At 35.1% G+C, this 25,788-nt stretch overlaps 1 pseudogene across 1 annotated transcript in view, besides 1 other annotated feature; it reads right to left on the minus strand.

Annotated features, from left to right (window-relative positions):
- The window catches only part of LOC101930420 (DNA primase large subunit-like), a 139,540-nt pseudogene extending 126,255 nt beyond the window's left edge, over positions 1-13,285 (minus strand). The window contains exon 1 of the transcript NR_172933.1: positions 13,218-13,285. The product of NR_172933.1 is annotated as a DNA primase large subunit-like (transcript). The remainder of the gene's footprint in view (positions 1-13,217) is intronic.
- Positions 1-25,788: part of a centromere (Linear centromere model derived predominantly from reads generated in PMID: 17803354. This region does not represent an actual centromere sequence, as long-range ordering of repeats and unmapped WGS contigs is not provided by the model. For details of model production, see http://arxiv.org/abs/1307.0035.) that runs on past both edges of the window.

The following is a 25,788-nucleotide window of genomic DNA, read 5'->3' on the forward strand; positions in this document are numbered from 1 at the left end:
GTTTCCCTCATCTTCCCCATGTGGCCCATATTTTCCTATTTATTTCAAGTTATAACCAAAATCCAATGAACTCCAAGATAAGTGAAAGTTGCATCTCATTTTTCTATAAAAATATCTGTACATTTGTCAAAAGACATTGAACTATACCCTTTAAATGGGTGGATTTTTTGTGTATAAATTGTACCTCAATAAAATTGATTTTAAAAGTAAAATACACACATACACCCCTGTAACATATATTCAAACTACAGCTTTACATTGGTATTTTCACCATATAACTTTAAGACCCCCAACAAACATATCTATTTTCATGAGTAAAAATTTTATGTTCCTTTACTCTCTATATTCTTAGTATATATTCTAGTAATATGATGAACCCAAATACAGATGGTTTTGGTTTTGGGTTGGGTCCAGGATAGTCAAATGACTACAATAAAGAAAGGATTCATAATAGGCTAGTCATGAAAAAGTGAAAGGTCGAGGGAATAAAGTTCCAACATCCAGCAAAATTAATACGTTAAAATGATGGACAACGTCTTCCCATTCCCCCACAAATAATTTACACAATGTGGAATGCTACTGAGATGAGCTATTACACATTTATGGCATTCTAGGATTATCCCCTCACATTTGTTCCCCAATAACTGCCACAATGTTTTGGGAGCTTTGGTAGGAGGTGCTGGAACAGTTAATGAGGATTATTATTAAAAGTCACAGTCCAACAGTCACATTACATCCTTTCCTTATACACCACTTCAGTCTCACATAGCCATTGACAATGCCTCATAATGTTTAAGGGTTTCATTTCATAGATCAAAAGAGCAAGGTATGTAACAGTTTTGTTTCTGGTTTTGTTTTTGAATACAAGTGGTCAACATTTGAATAACTTGTTGCCGGAAGTCGGGGACCCCAAACAGAGGGACCGGCTGAAGCCATGGCAGAAGAACGTGGATTGTGAAGATTTCATGGACATTTATTAGTTCCCCAAATTAATACTTTTATAATTTCTTACGCCTGTCTTTACTGCAATCTCTAAGCATAAATTGTTAAGATTTCATGGACACTTATCACTTCCCCAGTCAATACCCTTGTGATTTCCTATGCCTGTCTTTACTTTCATCTCTTGAACCTGTCAGCTGAGGAGAATGTCGCCTCAGGACCCTGTAATAATTGCATTAACTGCACAAATTGTACAGCATGTGTGTTTGAGCAATATGAAATCTGGGCACCTTGAAAAAAGAACAAGATAACAGCAATTGTTCAGTGAATAAGAGAGAGAACCTTAAACTCTGACCGCCGGTGAGCCAGGCAGAACAGAGCCATATTTCTCTTCTTTCAAAAGCAAATGGGAGAAATATCGCTGAATTCCTTTTCTCAGCAAGGAACATCCCTGAGAAAGAGAATGCCCGCCTGGGGGTAGGCCTATGAACGGCCCCCCTGGGCGTAGCCATCTCTTATGGTCGAGACTGCAGGGCTGAAATAGACCCCAGTCTCCCATAGCGCTCCCAGGCTTATTAGGAAGAGGAAATTCCTGCCTAATAAATTTTGGTCAGACCTGTTGATCTCAAAAACCCTGTCTCCTGATAAGATGCTATCAATAACAATGGTGCCCAAAACTTCATTAGCAATTTTAATTTCGCCTTGGTCCTGTGGTCCTGTGATCTCGCCCTGCCTCCACTTGCCTTGTGATATTCTATTACCTTGTAAAGTACTTAATGTCTGTGACCCACACCTATTCGCACACTCCCACCCCTTTTGAAAATCCCTAATAAAAACTTGCTGGTTTTTGCGGCTTGTGGGGCATCACGGAACCTACCGACATGTGATGTCTCCCCTGGACACCCAGCTTTAAAATTTCTCTCTTTTGTACTCTGTCCCTTTATTTCTCAAGCTGGCTGACGCTTAAGGAAAATAGAAAAGAACCTATGTGAATATCGGGGCAGGTTCCCCAATAATAAGTCATTGGTAAGAAAAAGAGGGAGCACTTCTGAGATCACACAGAGGAATAGTAAGTACTCTCTGTCCTCCATGATTAGTTCCTGATTGCATAAAGAAGAGTTCTATGTCCCAAAACAAAAGATAAAAACAGTAGTACATTTCTACAAAGATAAAAAGCATTTCTTTATCATAGTTATCCTTTGGAAATAACAGAAAATCCATCAGCTTTTTGTCCAAATTACCATCTCATTCAGTCTCAATATTTAGCAGCTTGGAAAACGGAATTAAAGGTAAAATTTTTTAACCTGACAGTTTCTATAATTCACTCATCCATTCATTCATTTATTCATTCATTCAAGTGTTTACTGAGGTCCTATTATGCCATTCTTATAAGTAATGGGGAGATAGTGGTAAACAAGATGGCCAAATTCCTTCATCTAATGGAGCTCATACCCTAGGCAAAAAAATACTGAACAAGCAAACAAATTAAAACGATCATTCCAACTAGTGATGTTGCTGAGAAGAAAACATAACATAGTGAGAAAATATTATAAAGCACTTGTGAGAGTGACTTTACATTGGATGATTAAGGACACACCTCAATAAGACCTGAGAAGATGCACCGCTATACACATTTTTGTTTGTTTCCACCACTGTACACATTTGATGACTGTTCCTGGTAGATTGTATGTATGCAGTAAGTCAAGAACCAAGATACCACTACTAAAAGTGGGCATTTAAAATTCATCTTGTATTATCCTTTCTAGCACTACTTTCCAAATAGTAATTAGAAACAATTGAGAGTGCATTAAACTTTTGATGAGTCTTGGTAGTCTGCCTTTCCTCAGCTCAATTTATTAATTTTGTTTTGTGTTTACTCTGAGTAAATAAAGGTTAATTGGTTCTGGAATGCCAGGGGGTGCTCTTAGGTTAACTAAACATTTAGACTCACAAGACTATGCCATAGACCCCTTGTGGCATCAGTTTACTTGGAAAGATCCAGGACAGGAATCACAGCTTGCTAGCTGGGCAGCTTCAAGTATTCCTCTTCCATGGAATCCTTACCACAGTCCTGCACAGGTGGACAATTCATTCAGGTACAGAGGCAAAATCCCCACCAGTACATGTGAGAGCTGCCCTGACTTAGGAGCCTCATGACCCTCAGTGGCCACAATTGCTTATAACAGCTCCATACATATAGCTTTTCCAGGGCTACCTCAGATTTGAAACTCTAAGCCCCACTACTATGATTTTTTAAAAATATGTAATTATTTAAATAAATTTCAAATACAATATGGAACTACACTACCAAATACAGATACCATTAACTAAAATTGATTGCTGAAATTAAAATTTTAATTAAATAAAATTAAATAAAATTTGAAATTCAGTTCTTTAGTAGCACTAGCCATGTTTCAAATGCTCAATAGCTGTAAGTGGCTATTGGCTACTGGATTAAACAGTACAGGTATAGAACACTTCCATCATCACAGAAAGTTCTATTACATAACATTCAACAAGTTGCTTTTTGTTGCTAATATATCACAAATACTGCCACAATGCTTTCTCAGGCCTTTTAAGAATATTATTTCCCATAACATCATTATTATTTTGTACTGTTAGTGTTTTATGACTAACACAGTGTAAAATCACTAATTTTCCTTTATAACTTAACCAGAGAGTGATCAATGTTTTAAAGAAACCCAATGAGTGAAGAATAGGAAATTTAACAACTGCAGATATTAAAACTATTATACCTCCACTATGCCAAGAGTCATCATGATTTATTATAATTACTTTAGTTAAACTTCTCTTTTTACTGATAACTATTCAGTCCTACAAAGGCAGAAATAAATGTATCCCTAGAACCTAACATCATGTGAGGCAACCAGTAAGAGTTCCTTTAATATGTGTTCAATAAACAATAAATAAAACAAACTCTTAGAATGCTAAAAGGTGTGTGAGCATGTATTACTGAACAGCTCTCACACAAAGTACCTCAGTACATCTCAGCCACTATATGTAACCTCATTACAAAGTCTACTATTTACAGCAGTGTTTATTTGCCTTGTTCTAGGTAGCTGGTTGATAAGACAGGAAAGATTTTTCTATCTTCCTTCAATATCATTAAAAAGAAAATCAGTAACTTTTTATATTTCTGTTAAGAACTCATTTCTTATACCTTTTTTCAACTTTAAGATATATTAAACTAGTAAAGTAAATTAGCTACAAAACTCCAGGAAATGTTAGTATTCTACATGAATTAAGAATGGTGACTTACATGTAAAATTGATTAAAAGTGATACAAAAAGCTGTTTTCACTCCATACTCCCACCTCAAAAGAAAACCTTCACTATAAGAGGCCGAATCAGTGACCCTCCACATATGCTCTAATTCCTGGATCCTCTGAATGTGTTAGGTTACATGGTAAAAGGGGCTCTGCAGATGTAATTAAGGTTAAGGATCTTAGATGAAAAGATTATCCTGGATATCCCTGTAGTCTGATCTAATCGCATGGGCCTTTAAAAGCAGAAAACTTTCTCAGGTTGGAAGCAGTGTGACACAGCAGCATAAATTAGAGAGATCTGAAGCATGGGAAGGCTCTGAGATGGGACCCACAGGCAAGGACTTCAGAGGCCTCTAGGAAATCCTGGAAAGCATGAGAAGGAATGTGGGCAGCCTCTAGGAGGAAAGACCAGGCTTCAACTGACAGCCAGCATAAAAACAGGATCTCCAACAACTTAAATAACCTTGGAAGTAAATTCTTCCCCAGAGCCTCCAGTAAGGAATATAAGCCTTGCTGACACCTTGATTTTAGCCTGGCAAGACCCATGTCCAATTTCTAACCTACAGACTGTGAGATAATAAATGGGCATTGTTTTAATCCACTAAATGTGTGGCATTTGTTAAGGCTGGAATAGAAAACTAATACACTGGTCACTCTTTGTTTTGTTTTCTTTATATAAAAATGCTAGTGTCATTGCTAAATATCAGGGAATATATATACAATGTACTTATGCACACAGACATATGACATGAGTGATTTTTAAATATTCTAAAGGAGTGTTTGAAAAAATGGCTATAAAGGCTCTAATCTACACACGCTAATAAGCTTTAACATTTGGCTTCCTCAATTCCACCTTTTTCAAGTCACTCGTTCACTTGTTAAGAAATCTGCCACTTTCTCACTTGGGCAAGATGGCATTTTTAGACTAATGAACTTCCCTGTATTTTCAAAGCTATACACCACCTAGGCTGCTGCTGTTCTTTGTTCTTACCTCCATCTGATCTGCTGGAAAACATCTATGATGCAATTCCTTCTACATAAAGTTACTACAGTATTTCTTCTCAGTTACTTTGCCTGAACACACAGAAACTGTTCACATTCTATAATTTTTTGCCACAGGTTTATTCAATCCCAAAAGCTATACATATCTGATAAAATGGGAATGGCTAAGTAAAAGTAGATATATCTATTCTTGATTGACTATTATGCAGATACTTAAAATTGGAGTCATGAAAATCAATTTTCTACTTTATTACCTAGTTATAACACATTAAGTGAAAATTTTAAAAGTTAACCACTTTATAATTAAAGTATGCATCAAGTTCACAAAAGAAGCTTAGTGTTGGTTGCATTAGGGAGGGAGGTGATTTTATATATTGTGACTATACATTTTACCAAAAACATTAAATGACATTAAATTTGTAACATAATCCACATGCAGATACTGCTTCTCACAAGACTTCCTATCACTCTCTTTACTATCTACTTAACTTGCAGCAACTATTCCGGTGCAGCTTTGGGTATGTGTGTGGGTGGGGAGCGGGGGACTATTTATAAATTTTGGTCCTCTTTCCCCTTAAAAATATAAGCATCTTGAGTTAAGGGACCACATCTATTAGTTCTTTTGTACATAATCAGTACCAATTATAGTGCCCTTAACACAACCGGCTGATTCTAACAAAATGCTGACTATTCACAAGTATACCTCTAAGAAGGCATTAACATTTTCCATACAGATGTGAAAAAATTGTAATTCAAAGGTGACAATGGAAAACAATATATTCTAATTTATTAATATCTTACACAGCACCTGGAAAACCTTCACTATAATCAGTGAACTAAAAGCTTGTGCTGCTGCATGTAGAAAAGGAAATAAATGTTCAAGGTACGGCCAGAGACTGGAAACAGGTGATGAGAAAGAGCTAACAAACAACTGAAGCATGTGGACCAGGCTAATGAGGCTTTCATTTCAGCCCTCAACTGATGAAGCCCCTATCTACTAAACCATTTTCTGGCATTTATTTTCATATTTACCACAATAGACACATGAATGCCCACACAATTTTCTGATTTCAAAATGAGAACTAATTCAAAAAGAAAACAATGATAGCTGTACCACTTTGGATAGTAAGAAAAGCTTTCTTACAGAGATTACATGTCTGATAAAAAATTTGTGAAAGCATATTCTTTAGAAAAATAAGTAGACATGTGTGCATATTAACAAAATGTACTGCCTTCGGAAAAGGAATGTTACAAAAGTAGTAATAATACCAACTGAAGGAAGATGCTTTTATTACTTTAAATGATTTTAAAATAATGGTTTGTATAAACATCTGCTTGCAAAATCAGTATGCACTAAAAGTTAATCGATATGATGCAGTCCAAGTACTTACTATAAGTAATACTTGTCTTAGCTTGCTTTATCTTTGTTTGATTTCTAATTCATTCTTGGGCTGAAATATGCTCACAAAATTGTGGTGTGACAAATACACATTTTAAAAATGAGTTATTCTTTAATGACAAAACATTAAATAATAGCAATTTTTTTTTTTGAGACAGAGTCTTGCTGTGTTGCCCAGCCTGGAGTGCAGTGGCATGATCCTGGCTCACTACAACCTCTGCCTCCTAGGTTCAAGTGATTCTCCTGCCTCAGCCTCCTGAGCAGCTGGGATTACAGGTGCGCACCATCACAGTGGGCTAATTTTTGTATTTTTAGTAGAGACAGGCTGGTCTTGAACTCCTGGCCTCAAGTGATCTGCCTGCCCCAGCCTCCCAAAGTGCTGGGATTACAGGCATAAGCCACCACGTCCAGCCAATAATAGCAACTTATAATATGTGACTTATAACAGTGACTTATAATATGCTGTCCCCCAATGCACTTCATATCTTGAAGTCAAGGGATAAAGGAGGAAGATACATACACTGTAGGCGTTATTTTTAAGGGGGAAAAATTCTCAATCATACAACTAAAAGTTATCACATGTATAATATGGGCTGCAAGTTTTCCTCTCTAGTTGTACCTGTTTATACTTCATATTTATAAGTGAGATAATAAATAAAAATAAACATCTTTATCATGCACACTTGCTAGCCTAATGCCATTTTTATAAATATTATCCCATGGTAGCATCATTAGGATAGCAAAGATACTTATTTACAATAAACTTCTACATTCATGGGAACATATTCCAAGACCTTTATGTATCTCCAAACTACCAAATCAGTGAACGATATAATTTACCCTAGAAAATGCAGTGATATACAACCATGAGAATGACAGTAAAGCCACAATGAGATGCAGGCTCCTTAGATTACATATCTAATCATATGCAATTTGGTGAAAGCAGAAATAACGATTTATACAAATTCTCTCTAAACTTTATATTATTGTAAGTCTAAGTTATTTTATTTTTTCCAATAGAAAAGTTCCTGGTACCAATTTTGAAAAATGGTATAGTCTTATGAAATAATTAATTCATCTCTTTTGAGGAGAGGGAAAGGCAGTATTTTTCATTAGAAAAATCAGGTTTTCTTGGCTGGTGCACGGTGAGCATGGTGGCTCACACCTGTAATCCCAACACTTTGGGAGGCCAAGGCAGGCAGAACACCTGAGGTCTGGAGTTAGAGACCAGTCTGGCCAACATGATGAAACCCCATCCCTACTAAAACTAAAAAATTAGTTGGGTGTGGTGGCACATGCCTGTAGTCCCAGCTACTCAGGAAGCTGAGGCAGAAGAATCGCTTGAACCCAGGAGGAGGAGGTTGCAGTAAGCTGAGATCATGCCATTGCACTCCAGCCTGGGTGACAGAGTGAGACTTTGTCTCAAAAAAAAAAAAAAAAAAGAAAAAGAAAAATTAGGTTTTCTTAATGAGAACATCATGAGGCTCCATCACCAACCTGTAAAATAGGGATTATGATAAATAACCATCTACCATCCACACTGGATTGTTCTGAGTATGCACCAAAAAGCTAGATTGGAAAGTACTTTTTAAACTCCAGTCAGTTTGATTTCCTGGCCTATCCCCTTCTAACCCTCCTAAAACATTGCCCCTTCAATTATTCCCTCTTACTCCCATACTACTCATTTCTGCCTTAACCTGTAAATATGCTCATCTTACCAATCTTAAGGAAAAAATAAAACACTTCCTTCAACCATGAAGCTCACAGATGCAGTCCTTTTTCCTGACATGTCCTCAGAATTAAGCTCTACCAAGAGTAGCCTACTACCTATATCTCCACAGCCTCATTTCTTATTTATTCCTCAAATCCTCATGAGACTTGGACTTGTATCCATACCATTAGCACCCGTCATACCACTATCCTTTTTTGTTCAAAGCTCCTCCCTGGTATTTTTACCGGTTTCTCATATCCCAACTCCCGCACTGCCCATCACAAGTTATTTAAACGCTGATATTCTGTGGGTTCGATTCAGAACCCTTCACCCTTTTCTTGTCTCTCTATACTCTCTTCCTCAGTGATCTCAACCATTCCCTTCATTTTAACCAAGACCTGCACAGTGATGATTAGCAAATGTCTCCCTGATGTAAACCTCACTCTTCAACTGTGGGTCTGTATTCAACTGCTTACTAAACATCCCCCACATAGGTCCCCATAGGTATCTCAAGCTTAAAATGTCTGAAACTACTGAAATTACCATCTAAGCATCATATTCACTCCCTAATTGCCTTGTCTTCCTTTCTTTATTCTCCTTCTTAGTTAATGACAATATTATCCCTCAAGTGAGATTACAGTTCAGTCCATTCAGCCTGAGAAAGCTGACTAAGAATAAAACAACAAAAAAGGAATAAACTTCAGTCCAATCTGAGCTCCCACTGTGAGCCACTGTGCTAGAATGCATGGAAACCAAAACAATTAAGTTATGGCCCGATTACTTAAGGAGATAATTCCACGAGGGAGACAGTTCAATTAACAAAATTATGTACATTGTATTTAATTCTGATAGAAAATGATACAAATTTTATAACTTGTTCAAGTGCCTGTCTCTCAAATGAAATCAAACCCAACTCTCTGAAAACAGAGATTGTGTGTTTTCTTTAAATTCTAAGCACATAACGGGCACTAAGTAATTAATGAGTGAATGGACGATACTAATGAATTAAAAACACAGTTGTACTGCCATAAGATATTGAAGCACGATATTTTTCTGTACTTGAGAATTGGATTCAACTAAAACAGTTTGGACACATCACTTCTGCAGTCTCAAAATAATATATATTGTTAAGTGATATTCTAGATTATTTGATTGGCAGTGTTACCTTAATTCTCTTTGAGTCTCTAAATCCTGTAAAATGATTTGAGAATTTCTCTGTATTGCTACTTCAATTTTTACAGGTATTTGTATTATCTCCCAAATTAGTTTTATTGACAAATTTAATTAAAATGCTACTCATCATTCCTCTTTCCTCATTAGAGGCAATAAACAAAATTAGACCTAATAATGATCTCGGTATCAACCTCCTAATGTCCATCCGCCTCTAGGTAACATTTAAATTACACAGTTCATGCAAATCAATTTTTTTCTAACAAAATTATTATTAAAATCTCTCAAACCAAATAATATTATTTCCTATTTAGAACTAAGCAAAAGGAAGATAAAATGAAAACATTACATTTAGACAAGCAAAAGCAACAATTCAATATTCTTGAAAGGCGTTATCACAAGGTTACTTTGTAGAACAGGAAGTGTCAAACTATGCACATCAGCTGCCACCCGACATATACATGTCTCTGACATGGTAATAAAATGAGAAACTGTTTTGTTTAATAATAATAATAATAAAGCAACAGCGGTGGGTGCACATTACATGTAGCATCTAGTCCTGGTTGCCTAGCAACCAGTCATGAGTGAAATCCACAGAGAATAAAAGCCCTTAAATGAATTTACAGTTTGTGCAACTTTCAAGGACTCAAAGAGATGTGTCAGTAGTTAATCTAAATTCTAGCTGGCAATTACCATATTCAGATGGAGGAAGGAGAATCCATCATTATCTCTCAGAATCAACTGTGAGATTAACTAGAAGCTAGATTCTACCCTTTAGGTTTTTACCTTTTGAACCAGTGGTTTTCTAGGAAAAAAATTTTGACAAGATGATTTATAAATTATAAAAACTTTATGCAGAAAAAAACAACAAAATTTCACTAATATAACTTGTATTCATTCATTCAACAAAACATATAATACCTATCATACACCAGATACTGTCTCCGCTATTGAAAATACAAATATGAACATCACTTTACAAGCCTTCAAGCATACTATAATGGAGAAATCAAACAGTAAACAAACAATAACAATATCACAAATTCTGTAATACAGAGGAAGGCATGGGATATTATGAAAATATCTATAAAAGACTTCCAATTCAGACTACGGAGGTGAACTAATTAATGGTCAGGGAAAACTTATCAGAAGAGGTAATGTTTGAGATGAGTTTTAAAAGACAAGCAGAAGTTGTTATAAAAGTGGAGCATGAGGAGAATATAAATAGATTTGCGTATTTATATACATCTACAATATGCTTTAAATATATATTTCTAAAATATATATTTATATTATATATTTAAAATGTTTTAAAATTATATTAAATACATTTAAAATATCTTAAAATTATATTAAATACATTTGAAATGTTTTAAAATTATATATATTATATATCTACAAATTTACATAAACAGAAGTGGCAGAAGGAAAAATATTTGTAATGCCGTAGAGGTGAGTGAGCAAAAAGCATGTTGTGTTAAAGGAACTTCACGGCATTTGGTGAAATTAGGATCTCAGTGTTAAAACAGGAGTCCAAAGAGACAGACAGCCCAGGCCTCTTCCAGAAGGACCTCTTATGCCAGGCTAAGAAGTTCGGACTTCCTCCAGAATGAAATTGGAGAGGCAGAGATGGGTCTTAAGCCAATGAATAATATAAACACATATGGCAATGATGTGAAATATATCAGAAAGGGCAAAGCAAACAGACAAGATGCTATGATAGCAAGAGATATACTCAAGAGATAAAATTGCCAACAGAGTTGAATGCAGCAGGTGGACATTAAGCAAGAGACTCAAAAATAATTTCTGAGATTCTTAACTCACTAACACAGAGTTCTAGTAAATTTAACAATCATGTATAAATGTTGTTATACATAAAAATGTATGCTATTCATTCCCTGCTGAAATATTAGACTTGATCAATCCGACAAAACAATTACACAAAGGTTACGACTTCTTCGTAACCCAACAAAACAATTATACAAAGGTTAAAAAGCTGTCTGGGAAGGAACAGTTACTGGAGAGCAGGAAGAAAAGGCAAGGAAAGTGGAGAGGGGAGGAAGAAAGAAAGGACAAATAAAGAAATACTAAGAAAGAAAAAGAAAACTAAAACTAAAACTTTCTGGTGAAAGTAAAAATCTATCCACACTTCTGAAAGAGAAGTTTAAAAATAATTTTTCAAAACCATAAAGGAAAACACTATTGGTGCTTGACTACATAAAACCTGAAAATGTAGGTATGTTGACTAATACAATTTTAGAATTTTAGAAAAAATGTATGTAACAAATACAACAAAGAGTCACTATCCTTTAAAGTATGTAAAAGCAAATAAGATCAGGAGATGCTATCAATAAGTGAGCAAAGAATACAGGTAGTTAATCCCACCTCAAAAATAAGGAAAATGAATTATTATTACCGACAAAATGCACAGTATCACAACAGTATCTCTATGTCTAACCTATTAGCAACTGTTTTGACTGCCCTATCTTGTTCAGAGTATAGTTACATGGCAGTATTATACAAATATGAGTGTATAGGTAGAATAAGATTTTGAAAAAGAAATATACATATACACTTAAATCTTTGAAATGGTTCACACCCTTTGACAAAGTAATTCTAATTCTGAAAACCTACCCTAAGAAAATGATCTAAAATACAAATAAAGGTTAACATATCACATTATTTTATAGTAGGAATAAAAAACTGGAAATGGTCTAAAGCTTCCCAAAGGGAGATAAATATGCTATAGTACAGATATACAAGAAAATATAATGTAGTCACTAACAATAATGTTTTTAGAAAGATTTTAATACTAAAGGAAAAAATATTACAATATTTATAAAAATGGAAAAAGTAGTCACATAAACTATAATTTCAACACTGAGTAAAAAACAACAATGACAACAACAACAACAAAAACATAGAAAGGGCAGGGTGCGGTGGCTTATGCCTGTAATCCCAGCACTTTGGGAGGCTGAAGCAGGTGGATCACCTGAGGTCAGGAGTTCGAGACCAGTCTGGCCAATATGGCAAAACCCTGTCTCTACTAAAAATACAAAAATTAAACAGGCGAGGTGCCCCACACCTGTAATCCTAGCTACTTGGGAAGCTGAGGCACAAGAATTGCTTGAATCGGGGAGGCGGAGGTTGCAGTGAGCGGAGATCACACCACTGCACTCTAGCCTGGGTGACAGAGCAAGATTCCATCTCAAAAAATAAAAAATTAAAATTAAAATTAAAAAACATAGAAAGGATAAATATTATTTCTGAGTAGTAATGATAGGGTTTTCCTTTTCCTTTCCTGTATTTTCTAACTTTATTTTTTAAATAATGAGACTATATTATTTTTGTATTTAGAAACAAACTCCATCCAACTCATCTATCCTCAATAAAAGTATGCCTTAACCTTGTATTTACATAAATAGCTCATTCATTTGAGATCTTTCTGTAAAGTTAGTTATCTCTACTCATTTAACTTAAACTTATCAAGCAGTTCAGCACACTGTTGTTGAATTAAAAGAGCTTTCTACAGTGCCCTAAAGTCAAGGGTAACGAGTCCATGGTATTAAGAACTTCAATTTGAATAACGGAATGAAAGCAAGAAAAAAAATAAGTTTTTAGTAATTGAAAGGGTTTCACCACTTTAATATACTTTATTCACTTTACTGCACTTGGATTTATAAGCATAACAGGCTGTGCCTTTATATTACCTGAGGTGATTGAGCAGAGGCTGAAGTCTTTCATCAGACTGCACAGCAGGCAAGGACCTGGCTGTTAACTAAAAGCAGGGAAGAAAATTAGTAAAAACAGCAAAGGCCGAACACCGAACATATTTGAATACTAAATGTAAAACGAGCTGAAGGGCAGATAGGGAGGCAATACTTAAAAATATAAGGTTCTATTTCTCTTTTTTCAAATCAAGAAATTATATAAAAACCTGACACATTACGTGATCAAAGCTAGCTACATGGTTCTAAGGACATAGGGTATGTCACTAAGTTTAAAAGTAAAGAAAAAGGTGAGCAAAACAGAGAGTAAAAGGGAGTGTCCTGAGTTCATGAAAAAGCATTCACTTATGAGACTATTATCTTTGTAAATAAAAATGGAAAAACTTCTAAATGTAAAATTGTATAACAACCAATCTTGTAGCACCGAGTCCTAAGATGATGAATAAATTGGGAAGATAAATTCTGATTTATAGCTAAGCCACTGTGAAACTGGTTACATACAGAAGTGTATGTACTTTATTCTGTCAGCCACATGACTATAAGGAACCAAGGATATCTTTTAAGTATACAGAAACAACTCAAAAGTATTTAATATTGAAATATGACCTCAAATTGAGCTAGGAAATAAGAAGTCAGAGCCAATACTGTGTACCAACTTGACAGCATATCATCAAAATGTGAATTTATGATCTGTTTTATTACAACAATATTAATTATATATCTATGTATCTCTATTTTCTTCTCTGTTCTTAAGAGAATGCCTTTTTATAAGAATTTGACACAAGGAAATTAAAGACATTCATTCAAAGTAATCAGATAGCTTGAGGTAAACTTAACATCAAAACAAAAATAAAAGATAAATCTCCTCAAGATTCAATTATGATCAAAATGGTTCTCATATTTTACTAATCAATCATTTAACAATTCACAAAAAAGAACCTTAAGACAAGCAACAAACTGAAAGATATCTTTTGGGTTTATGTAGTGTATCCTGTCTTTCTAATTTTTTTCATACATTAATTACAATTTCCTAAAAATGGAAAACATTAGTTCATCAAATCTAATTTTTATATTATGCAAATAATGCTATCATCTAAAAATATCTTTTATATATTTTTTTAAAAGTTGGCCAAAGTGCCATATTCTGATAATAATGGAGAAGCTTTCCCAATTTTGTACAAGAGTCAACACCTCGACAGTTACTAATTTAAAATACAATAAAGTGAGACGATCTGCTGCAATTTTAGCACAATCAATAGACTTTCAGTATCCCTGAAAAATACTAAGTATCAAAATACTAAGTACTAAGTATTAAAAATATACTAAGTAACATATATGTAACATATAAGATGTTATCAAGGTTATCAAATTCTATAAACAAAACACTTTAATACTTTAATACATCCTTTATCTGTTAATGTCAAATCCTGTTACAAAATGCCATTTTCATTGTTCAAGAGATTTCATGTCTCAGAACCAAAGCTGTGTTCTAAAACGATTTAAATGATTTATCTAGACATTTCAAAAGTCAGTTCTCTGAAAACAGAGCAGACAGAGTGGGCTTTCTCAGTCACTTCTGTCAATCTATATAGTATGCTTTCTAATAGAGGCAAACAGAAATCACCTCAGTAACAGCAAAATATTCTAGACATCTGTTAAGTCCATATAGGAAAGATTTTCACATCTACCCCTTCATCTTAATTTCAGTCTTCATTTCCTTTTCCCTAAACTATTAATACATCTCCACTGTTGTTTCTGCTGCCATTCTTGCCCCTTCCCTAATTTATACCAAGGTCAGAGTGAAATGTTCAAAATGAAAGTCAACCACACCCCTAATTAAAATCATCTAGTAATTCCCTCTGGCTCCCAGGGTAAAGTTATTACATCAGTCTTTCATCAGACATTTTCTTAAAATTTTCCTTTTAGGCAGCATTACTGAAACAATAGGCACAGAATGATTGACTGACTACACAGCTTCTGCCAATTCCACAAAACACAATGACAGCACATTAGGTAGAAGTTTTCCATAGCTCCAGTTTTCTGGAACACATGTGCTCGATGATTTGAGTTCTCCCATCCTCCCCTTCCCACCTCCAACTTACTTTCGAGATTGAATCTCTGGCAAGAATGATTCCTAAACCAGGGAGAGGCCAATGCTCTGAGTAAAATTATTTCAAGGAAGATTTTTGAGTTCTCCAAAGGTTTTCTTTTCAACTTTTAAAACAATTACCGTTTACAAAAAGAGCATGCATCTCTTCATGTTAAGTATATGAAGTAATAAATCTATTCCAAAGCTCTTTAAAGTGGCAAACCCATCTGCGAACCTTTTGCTGACAGAAAGCAAACTTCATTTTAGGAACTGTTGGCTCCATTTCTTCTGAAATTTTTCTCTGAGCTAACGTAGTTACCACTTACATCCACTGGACTGTGAGTGGTAACTGCATCCCTAGCACTTGCAACACAACAGATGTTTAGTTTAGCAAGTGTGTAATTTCATTAATTGATAAAAATGAAAGTATATGTCTATGTTTCATAAAGCTTTTCAAATTCCTGCTTTGAGCAAAACTAAATATAAATCAAAACTAAACTAAGTAACAATTATCAAGCCTTCCAAGAAAGCAATACACTGTCACAATGAGATTTTTAGCATTTCCTCTACAACTAGAAAGCTATATCTATCCAGGTTAAATCGACTTTGGCTTCCAACTGTGTTTTAATTTTTTTTCTTTTTATAGAAAACAAAACAATGTACCAAACACATAAATCACCAGGAATGAAAGAGAGGGAAGATCTATCACAGTTTGCATCTGCAAAGCCTAAACGAGTTGTCTAAGTTTGGGCTATTTCATGAAAACCATCATACAATTTGGCATAACTTATAGCTTATTTCTCATTATTGTTGAAAGGTTAGGGGTGAGTTAAGATGTCCTTTCATTATTAAAACTATATTAGCCCACTGAATTAACTAATACAGTTTCCACTGTTTTTAGATAAGTATAACCGATCACTAACTCTTATATAAATCTCATTTTAAAAATTAGTATTACTGGGTAAATTTTGCCCTTTGACATCTATCTGGTTACAAAAATAATGCAAGTTTTATATGAAGAAATCCCGTTTCCAACGAAAGCCTCAAAAAAGTCCAAATATTCACTTGCAGATTCTACATAAAGAGTGTTTCAAAAGTGCTCTATCAATCAAAAGAAAGGTTAAACTCTGTGAGTTGAAGGCACACATCACAAAGTAGATTCTGAGAATGATTCTGTCTAGTTTTTCTAGGAAGATATTTCCTTTTCTACCACAGGCCTCAAAGCGCTCTAAATATACACTTGGGAATTCTACAAAAATAGTTTTTTGAAACTGCTTTATCAAAAAGAAAGTTCAACTCTGTGAGTTGAATGCACATAGCACAAAGAAGTTTCTGAGAATTCTTCTGTCTAGTTTTATATGAAGAAATCCCGTTTCCAACGAAGGTCTCAAAGAGATCCAAAAGTCCACTTGCAGATTCTACAAAAAGGGTGTTTCAAGACTGCTCTATCAAGAGGAATGTTCAACCCTGTTAGTCAAATGCAAACATCACAAAGTAGTTTCCGAGAATGCTTCTGTCTAATTTTTATGTGAAGATATTTCCTTTTCTACCACAGACCTCAAAGCGCTCTAAATATCCAGTTGCAGATTCTACAAAAAGAGTGTTTCAAAACTGCTCTATCAAAAGAAAAGTTAAACTCTGTAAGGTGAATGCACACATCTCAAAGTCGTTTCTGAGAATGCTTCTGTGCAGTTTTTCTATGAAGATATTTCCTTTTCTACCATAGGCCCCAAAGCTCGCTAAATATCCACTTGCAAATTCTACAAAAAGAGTGTTACAAAACTGCTCTATCAAACGGAAGGTTCCACTCTGTGAGTTAAGTGCAGACATCACAAAGAAGTTTCTGAGAATACTTCTGTCTACTTTTTATGTGAAGATACACCCGCTTCCAAAGAAGGCCTCCAAGCGTTCAAAATACCCACTTGCAGACTTTAGAAACAGTGTTTCAAAACTGCTCTATCAAAAGAAAGGTTAAACTCTATGAGTTGAATGCACACATCATAATGTAGTTTAAGAGGATGATTCTGTCTAGTTTTTATATGAAGATATTTCCTTTTCTACCATAGGCCTCAAAGCGCTCAAAATATCCAATTGCCAATTCTACAAAGAGAGTGTTTCAATATTGCTCTATCAAAAGGAACGTTCAACTCTCTGAGCTGAGTACAAACATCACAGATAAGTTTCTGAGAATACTTCGGTCTACTTTTTATGTGAAGATATTTGCATTTCCAAAGAAGGCCTCAAAGCGCACCAAATATCCACTTGCAGACTTTACAAACAGAGTGTTTCAAAACTGCTCTATCAAAAGACAGGTTAAACTCTGTGAGTTCAATGCACAAGTCACAAACTAGTTTCTGAGAATCATTCTTTCTGGTTTTTCCATGAGGATATTTCCTTTTCTTCCATAGACCTCAAAACTTTCTAAATATCCACTTGGAAATACTACAAAAAGAGTGTTTCAAAACTCCTCTATTGAAAAGAAGGTTCAAATCTGTGAGTTGAAAGCACACTTCACAAAGAAGTTTCTGAGAAGTCTTCTGTCTAGTTTTATATGAAGGAACCCCATTTACAACGAAGGCCTCAAAGAGGTCCAAATATCCACTTACAGATTCTACAAAAAGAGTGTTTGAAAACTGCTCTATCAAGAGGAATGTTCAACTCTGTGAGTGGAAGGCAAACATCACAAAGTAGTCTCTCAGGAAGCTTCTGTCTAGTTTCTATGTGAAGATAATTCCTTTTCTACCATAGGTTTCAAAGCGCTCTAAATACACACTTGCAAATTCTACAAAAAGAGTGTTTCAAAACTGCTCTATCAAAAGAAAGTTTAAGCTCTGTGAGTTGAATGCACACATCACAAAGTCATTTCTGAGAATTCTCCTGTCTAGTATTACATGAAGAAATCCCGTTTCCAACGAAGGCCTCAAACAGGTCCAAATATCCACTTGCAGATTCTACAAAAAGAGTGTTTCAAAACTGCTTTATCAAGAGGAATGTTCAACTCTGTGAGTTGAATGCAAACATCACAAAGTACTTTCTCAGAATACTTCTGTGTAGTTTTTCTATGAAGATATTTCCTTTGATACCATAATCCTCAAAGCACTCTAAATATCCACTTGCAAATTCTACAAAAAGAGTGTTTCAAAACAGCTCAATCAAAAGGAAGGTTCAACTCTCTGAGTTGAGTGCAGACATCAAAAAGAAGTTTCTGAGAACACTTCCGTCTACTTTTTACGTAGGCCTCAAAGCGCCCCAAATATCCACTTGCAGACTTTACAAACAGAGTGTTTCAAAACTGCTCTATCAAAAGAAAGGTTATACTCTGTGACTTCAATGCACACATCATAAAGTAGTTTCTGAGAAAGATTCTGTCTAGTTTTTATATGAAGATATTTCCTTTTCTACCATAGGCTTCAAAGCACTCTAAATATTCACTTGCAAATCCTACAAGAGTGTTTCAAAACAGCTCTATCAAAAGAAAGGTTAAACTCTGTGAGTTGAACGCACACATCACAAAGTAGTTTCTGAGAATAATTCTGTCTAGTTATTCTATGAAGATATTTCCTTTTCTACCATAGGCCTCAAAACGCTCTAAATATCCAGTAGGAAATTCTACAAAAAGAGTGTTTCAAAACTGCTCTATCAAAAGGAAGGTTCAACTCTGTGAGTGGAGTGCAGACATCACAAAGAAGTTTCTGAGAGTACTTCTGTCTACTTTTTATGTGAAGATACTCCCATTTCCAAAGAAGACCTCAAAACGCTCCAAATATCCACTTGCAGACTTTACAAACAGAGTGGTTCAGAATTTCTCTATCAAAGGAAACGTTTTACTCTGTGAGTTGAATGCACACATCACAAAGTAGTTTCTGAGAATGATTCTGTCTAGTTTTTATATGAAGATATTTCCTTTTCTACCATAGGCTTCAAAGCGCTCTAAATATGCACTTGCAAATTCTACAAAAAGAGTGGATAAAAACTACTCTATCAAAAGAAAGTTTCAATTCTGTGAGTTGAATGCACACATCACAAAAAGTTTCTGAGAATTCTTCTGTCTAGTTTTTATGTGAAGAAATTCCCCTTTCCAACGAAGGCCTCAAAGAGGTCCAAATATCCACTGGCAGATACTACAAAAATAGAGTTTCAAAACTGCTCTATCAACAGGAACGTTGAACTCTGTCAGTTGAATGAAATCATCACAAAGTAGTTTCTGAGAATGCTTCCGTCTAGTTTTTATGTGAAAATATTTCCTTTTCTACCATTGGCCCAAAGCGCTCTAAATATACTCTTCCAAATTCTACTGAAAAGTTTTCAAGACTGCTCTGTCAAGAGAAAGGTTAAACTCTGTGAGTTAAACGCACACATCACAAAGTAGTTTCTGAGAATGATAGTTTCAATTTTTTCTGTGAAGCTATTTCCTTTTCTACCATAGGCCTCTAGGCACTCTAAATAACCACTTGGAAATTCTACAAAAAGAGGTTTTCAAAACTGCTCTATTGAAGGGAAGGTTCAAACCTGTGAGTTAAATGCACACATCACAAAGAGTTTCTGAGAATTCTTCTGTCTAGTTTTATATGAAGAAATCCCATTTTCAACGAAGTCCTCAAAGAGGTCCAAATATCCACTTACAGATTCTACAAAAAGAGTGTTTCAAAACTGCTCTATCAAGAGGAATGTTCAACTCTGTTAGTTGAATGCAAACATCACAAAGTAGTTTCTGAGAATGCTTCCATCTAGTTTTTATATGAAGATATTTCCTTTTCTACCATAGGCCTCAAAGCCTTCAAAATACACACTTGCAAGTTCTACAAAAAGTGCGTTTCAAAACTGCTCTATTAAAAGAAAGGTTATACTCTGCGAGTTGAATGCACACATCACAAATTAGTTTCTGAGAATGATTCTGTCTGGTTTTTCTATGAAGATATTTCCTTTTCTACCATAGGCCTCCAAGCGCTCTAAATATCCACTTGGAAATTCTACAAAAAGTGTGTTTCAAGACTGCTCTAATGAAAGGAACGTTCAACTCTGTAAGTTGAATGCACACATCACAAAGAAGTTTGAGAATTCTTCATCTAGTTTTTATATGAAGAAATTCCCGTTTCCAACGAATGCCTCAAAGAGGTCAAAATATACACTTGCAGATTCTACAAAAAGAGTGTTACAAATGTTCAACTCTTTGAGTTGAATGCAAACATCACAAAGCAGTTTCTCAGAATGCTTCTGTGTAGTTTTTCTATGAAGATATTTCCTTTTCTACCATAGGCCCCAAAGCCCTCTAATTAGCCACTTGCAAATTCTACAAAAAGAGTGTTTCAAAACTGCTCTATCAAAAAGAAAGTTCAACTCTGTGAGTTGAATGCAAACATTGGAAAGAAGTTTCTGAGAATGCTTCTGTCTAGTTTCTTTGAGAAGATATTTCCTTTTCTAACGTAGGCCTCAAAGCCCTCTAAATATACACTTACAAATTCTTCAAAAAGAGTGTTCCAAAACTGTTCTATCAAAAGAAAGGTTAAACTCTGAGAGTTTGACACACACATCACAAAGTAGTTTCTGAAAATGATTCTGCCTAGTTTTTATATGAAGATATTTCCGTTTCTACCACAGGCCTCAAAGGGCTCTAAATATCCATTGGAAATTCTACAAAAAGAGTGTTTCAAAACTACTGTATAGAAAGGAACGTTCAACTCTCTGAGTTGAATGCACACATCACAAACAAGTTTCTGAGAATTCTTCTGTCTAGTTTTTATACGAAGAAATTCCCATTTCCAACGAAGGCCTCAAAGAGGTCCAAATACACACTTGCAGATACTACAAAAAGATTTTTACAAAATTGCTCCACCAAAATGAATGTTCAGCTCTATGAGTTGAATGCAAACATCTCAAAGTAGTTTCTTAGAATGCTTCTTTGTAGTTTTTCAAAGAAGATATTTCCTTTTCTTCCTTAGGCCCCAAAGCGCTCTAAATATCCACGTGCAAATACTACAAAAAGAGTGTTGGAAAACTGCTCTATGAACAGGAAGGTTCATATCTGTGAGTTGAGTGCAGACATCACAAACAAGTTTCTGAGAATACTTCTGTCTCCTTTTTATGTGAAGATATTCCCGATTCCAAAGAAGGCCTCAAAGCACTCCAAGTATCCACTTTCAGACTTTACAAATAGAGTGTTTCAAAACAGCTCTATCAAAAGAAAGGCTAAACTCTGTGAGTTGAACGCACACATCACAAAGCAGTTTCTGAGAATGATTCTGTCTAATTTTTCTATGAAGATATTTCCTTTTCTACCATAGGCCTCAAAGGGCTCTAAATAACCACTTGGAAATTCTATAAAAAAAGTGTTTCAAAACTGCTCTATTGAAAGGAAGGTTCAACTCCGTGAGTTGAATGCACACATCACAAAGAAGTTTCTGAGAATTCTTATGTCTAGCTTTATATGAAGAAATTCCATTTCCAATGAAGGCTTTAAAAAGATCCAAATGTCCACTTGCAGATAATACAAAAAGAGTGTTTCAAAACTGTTCTATCAAAAGGAATGTTCAACTCTCTGAGGTGAAAGCAAATATCACAAAGTAGTTTCTGAGAATGCTTTTCTCTAGTTTTTATGTGAAGATATTTCCTTTTCTACCATAGACCTCAAAGCACTCTAAATATCCACTTGCAAATTCTACAAAAAGAGTGTTTCAAAACTGCCCTATCAAGAGGAAGGTTCAGAATCTGTGAGTTGAAAGCAAACACCACAAAGTAGTTTCTGAGAATGCTTCTGTCTATTTTTTATGTAAAGATATTTCCTTTTCTACCATAGGACTCAAAGCTCTCTAAATATACACTTCCAAATTGTACAAAAAGAGTGTTTCAAAACTGCTCTATCAAAAGAAATGTTAAACCCTGTGAATTGAATGCACACGTCACAAAGTAGTTTCTGAGAATGGTTCTGTCTAGTTTTTATATGAAGACATTTCCCTTTCCACCATAGGCCTCCAAGCGCTCCAAATATTCACTTGGAAATTCTACAAAAAGAGTGTTTCAAAACTGCTCTATCGAAAGGAAGTTTCAACTCTGTGAGTTGAATGCACAGAGCACAAAGAAGTTTCTGAGAATTCTTCTGTCTAGTTTTATATGAAGAAATCACGTTTCAAACGAAGGCCTCAAAGGGATCCAAATATCGGATTGCAGATTCTACAAAAAGAGTGTTTCAAAACTGCTCTATCAACAGGAATGTTCAACTCTGTGACTTGAATGCAAACATCAAAAGTAGTTTCTGAGAATGCTTCTGTCCAGTTTTTATGTGAAGATATTTCCTTTTCTACCATAGGCCTCAAAGTGCTCTAAATATACGCTTCCAAATTCTACCAAAAGAGTGTTTCAAAACTGTTCTATCAAAGGAAAGGTTAAACACTGTGAGTTGAACCCACACATCACAAAGCACTTTCTGAGAATGATTCCCACTAGTTTTTCTTTGAACACATTTCCTTTTCCACCATAGGCCCCAAAGCGCTCTAAATATCCATTTGCAAATTCTACAAAAAGAGTGTATCAAAACTGCTCTATCAAATGGAAGGCTCACCTCTGTGAGTTGAATGCAGACATCACAAATAAGTTTCTGATAATGCTTCTGTCTACTTTTTATGTGAAGATATTCCCTTTTCCAAAGAAGGCCTCAAAGCGCTCCAAGTGTCCACTTGCAGACTTTGCAAATAGAGTGTTTCAAAACTGCTCTATCAAAAGAAAGGTTAAACTCTTTGAGTTGAACGCACACTTCACAAAGTAGTTTTTGAGAATGATTCTGTCTAGTTTTTCTATGAAGATATTTCCTTTTCTACCATAAGCCACAAAGCGCTCTAAATATCCACTTGGAAATTCTACAAAAAGAGTGTTTCAAAACTTCTCTATTGAAAGCAAGGTTCAACTCTGTGCGGTGAATGCACACATCACAAAGAAGTTTCTGAGAATTCTTCTGTCTACTTTTATATGAAGAAATCCCGTTTCCAACAAAGTCCTCAAAGAGGTCCAAATATCCACTTGCAGATTCTACAAAAAGAGTGTTTCAAAACTGCTCTAACAAGAGTAATGTTCAACTCTGTGAGTTGAATGCAAACATCACAAACTACTTTCTGAGAATATTTCTATCTACTTTTTATGTGAAGATACTCCCGTTTCCAAAGAAGGCCTCAAAGCGCTCCAAATATCCACCTGCAGACTTTTCACACAGAGAGTTTCAAAACTGCTCTATCAAAAGGCAGGCTAAGCTCTGTGAGTTGAACACACACATAACAAAGTAGTTTCTGAGAATGATTCTGTCTAGTTTTTATATGTAGATATTTCCTTTTCTACCATAGGACTCAAAGCGCTCTAAATATCCACTTGGAAATTCTACAAAAAGAGTGTTTCATAACTGCTCTATTGAAAGGAACGTTCAATTCTGTGAGTTAAATGCACACATCACAAAGAAGTTTCTGAGAGTACTTCTGTCTAATTTTTATGTGAACATACCCCCGTTTCCAAAGAAGGCCTCAAAGCGCTCCAAATGTCTACTTGCAGACTTTACAAACAGAGGGTTTCAAAACTCGTCTATTGAAAGAAAGGTTAAACTCTGTGAGTTGAACGCAAACATCACAAATTAATTTCTGAGAATGATTCTGTGTAGTTTTTATATGAAGATATTTCCTTTCCTACCATAGGCCTCAAAACGCTCTAAATATCCACTTGCAAATATTACAAAAAGAGTGTTTCAAAACTGCTCTATCAAAAGCAAGGTTCAACTCTGTGAGTTGAGTGACAGACATCACAAAAAAGTTTCTGAGAGTACTTCTGTCTAGTTTTATATGAAGAAATCCCGTTTCCCAAGAAGGACTCAAAAAGGTCCAAATATGAACTTGCAGATTGTACAAAAAGATAGTTTCAAAACTGCTTTATCAAGAGGAATGTTCAACTCTGTGAGTTGAATGCAAACATCACAAAGTAGTTTCTCAGTATGGTTCTGTCTAGTTTTTATGTGAAGATATTTCCTTTTCTACCATAGGCCTCAAAGTGCTCCTAATATACACTTGTAAATTCTACAAAAAGAGTGTTTCAAAAGTGCTCTATGAAAAGGAAGGCTCAAGACTGTGAGTTGAGTGCAGACATCATAAAGAAGTTTCTGAGAATTCTTCTGTCTACTTTTTATGGGAAGATACTCCCATTTCCAAAGAAGGCCTCAAAGGCCTCCAAATATCTACATGCAGACTTCACAAACAGAGGGTTTCGAAACTTCTTTCTGAAAAGGAAAGATCACCTCTGTGAGTTGAATTCACACATCACAAATTAGTTTCTGAGAATGCTTCTGTCTAGTTTTTATGTGAAGATATTTCCTTTTCTACCATAGGCCTCAAAGCGCTCTAAATATACACATGCAAATACTACAAAAGAGTGTTTCAAAACTACTCTATCAAAGAAAGTTTAAAATCTGTGTGTTGAACGCACTCATCACAAAGTAGTTTCTGAGAATTCTTCTGTCTAGTTTTATATGAAGACATCCCGTTTCCAAGGAAGGCCTCAAAGAGGTCCAAATATCCACTGGCAGATTCTACAAAAAGAGTGTTTGAAAACTGCTCTATCAAGAGGAATGTTCAACTCTGTGAGTTGAATGCAAACTTCACAAAGTAGTTTCTGAGAATGCTTCTGTCTAGTTTTTCTATGAAGATATTTCCTTTTCTACCATAGGCCTCCAAGTGCTCTAAACATTCACTTGGAAATTCTGCAAAAAGAGTGTTTCGAAACCGCTCTATCGAAAGGAAGGTTCAAATCTGTGAGTTCAATGCACACATCACAAAAAAGATTCTAAGAATTCGTCTGTCTAGTTTTATATGAATAATCCCATTTCCAAAGAAGGCCTCAAATAGGTCCAAATATCAACTTGCAGACTCCATAAAAAGAGTGTTTCAAAACTGCTCTATCAGGAGGAATGTTCAACTCTGTGAGTTGACTGCAAACATCACAAAGTAGTTTCTGAGAATGCTTCTGTCTAGTTTTTATATGAAGATTTTTCCTTTTGTACCATAGACATCAAAGCGCTCCAAATATACAGTTGCAAATTCTACAAAAAGAGTGTTTCAAAACTGCTCTATTGAAAGGAAAGTTCAACACTGTGTGTTCAATGGACCCATCAAAAAGAAGTTTCTGAGAATTCTTCTGTCTACTTTTATATGAAGAAATCCCTTTTCCAACGAAAGCCTCCATGAGGTCCAAAGATACACTTGCAGAATCTACAAAAATGTTGTTTCAAAACTGCTCTATCAAGAGAAATGCTCACCTCTGTGAGTTGAATCCAAACATCACAAAGTAGTTTCTGAGAAAGATTCTGTCCAGTTTTTCTATGAAGATATTTCCTTTTCTACCATGAGCCCCAATGTGCTCTAAACATCCACTTGGAAATTCTACAAAAAGAGTGTTTCAAAACTACTCTATCAAAAGAAATGTTAAACTCTGTGAGTTGAA

The sequence above is a fragment of the Homo sapiens genome, chromosome 3 (assembly GCF_000001405.40).
Source record: "Homo sapiens chromosome 3, GRCh38.p14 Primary Assembly".
NCBI lineage: Eukaryota > Metazoa > Chordata > Mammalia > Primates > Hominidae > Homo > Homo sapiens.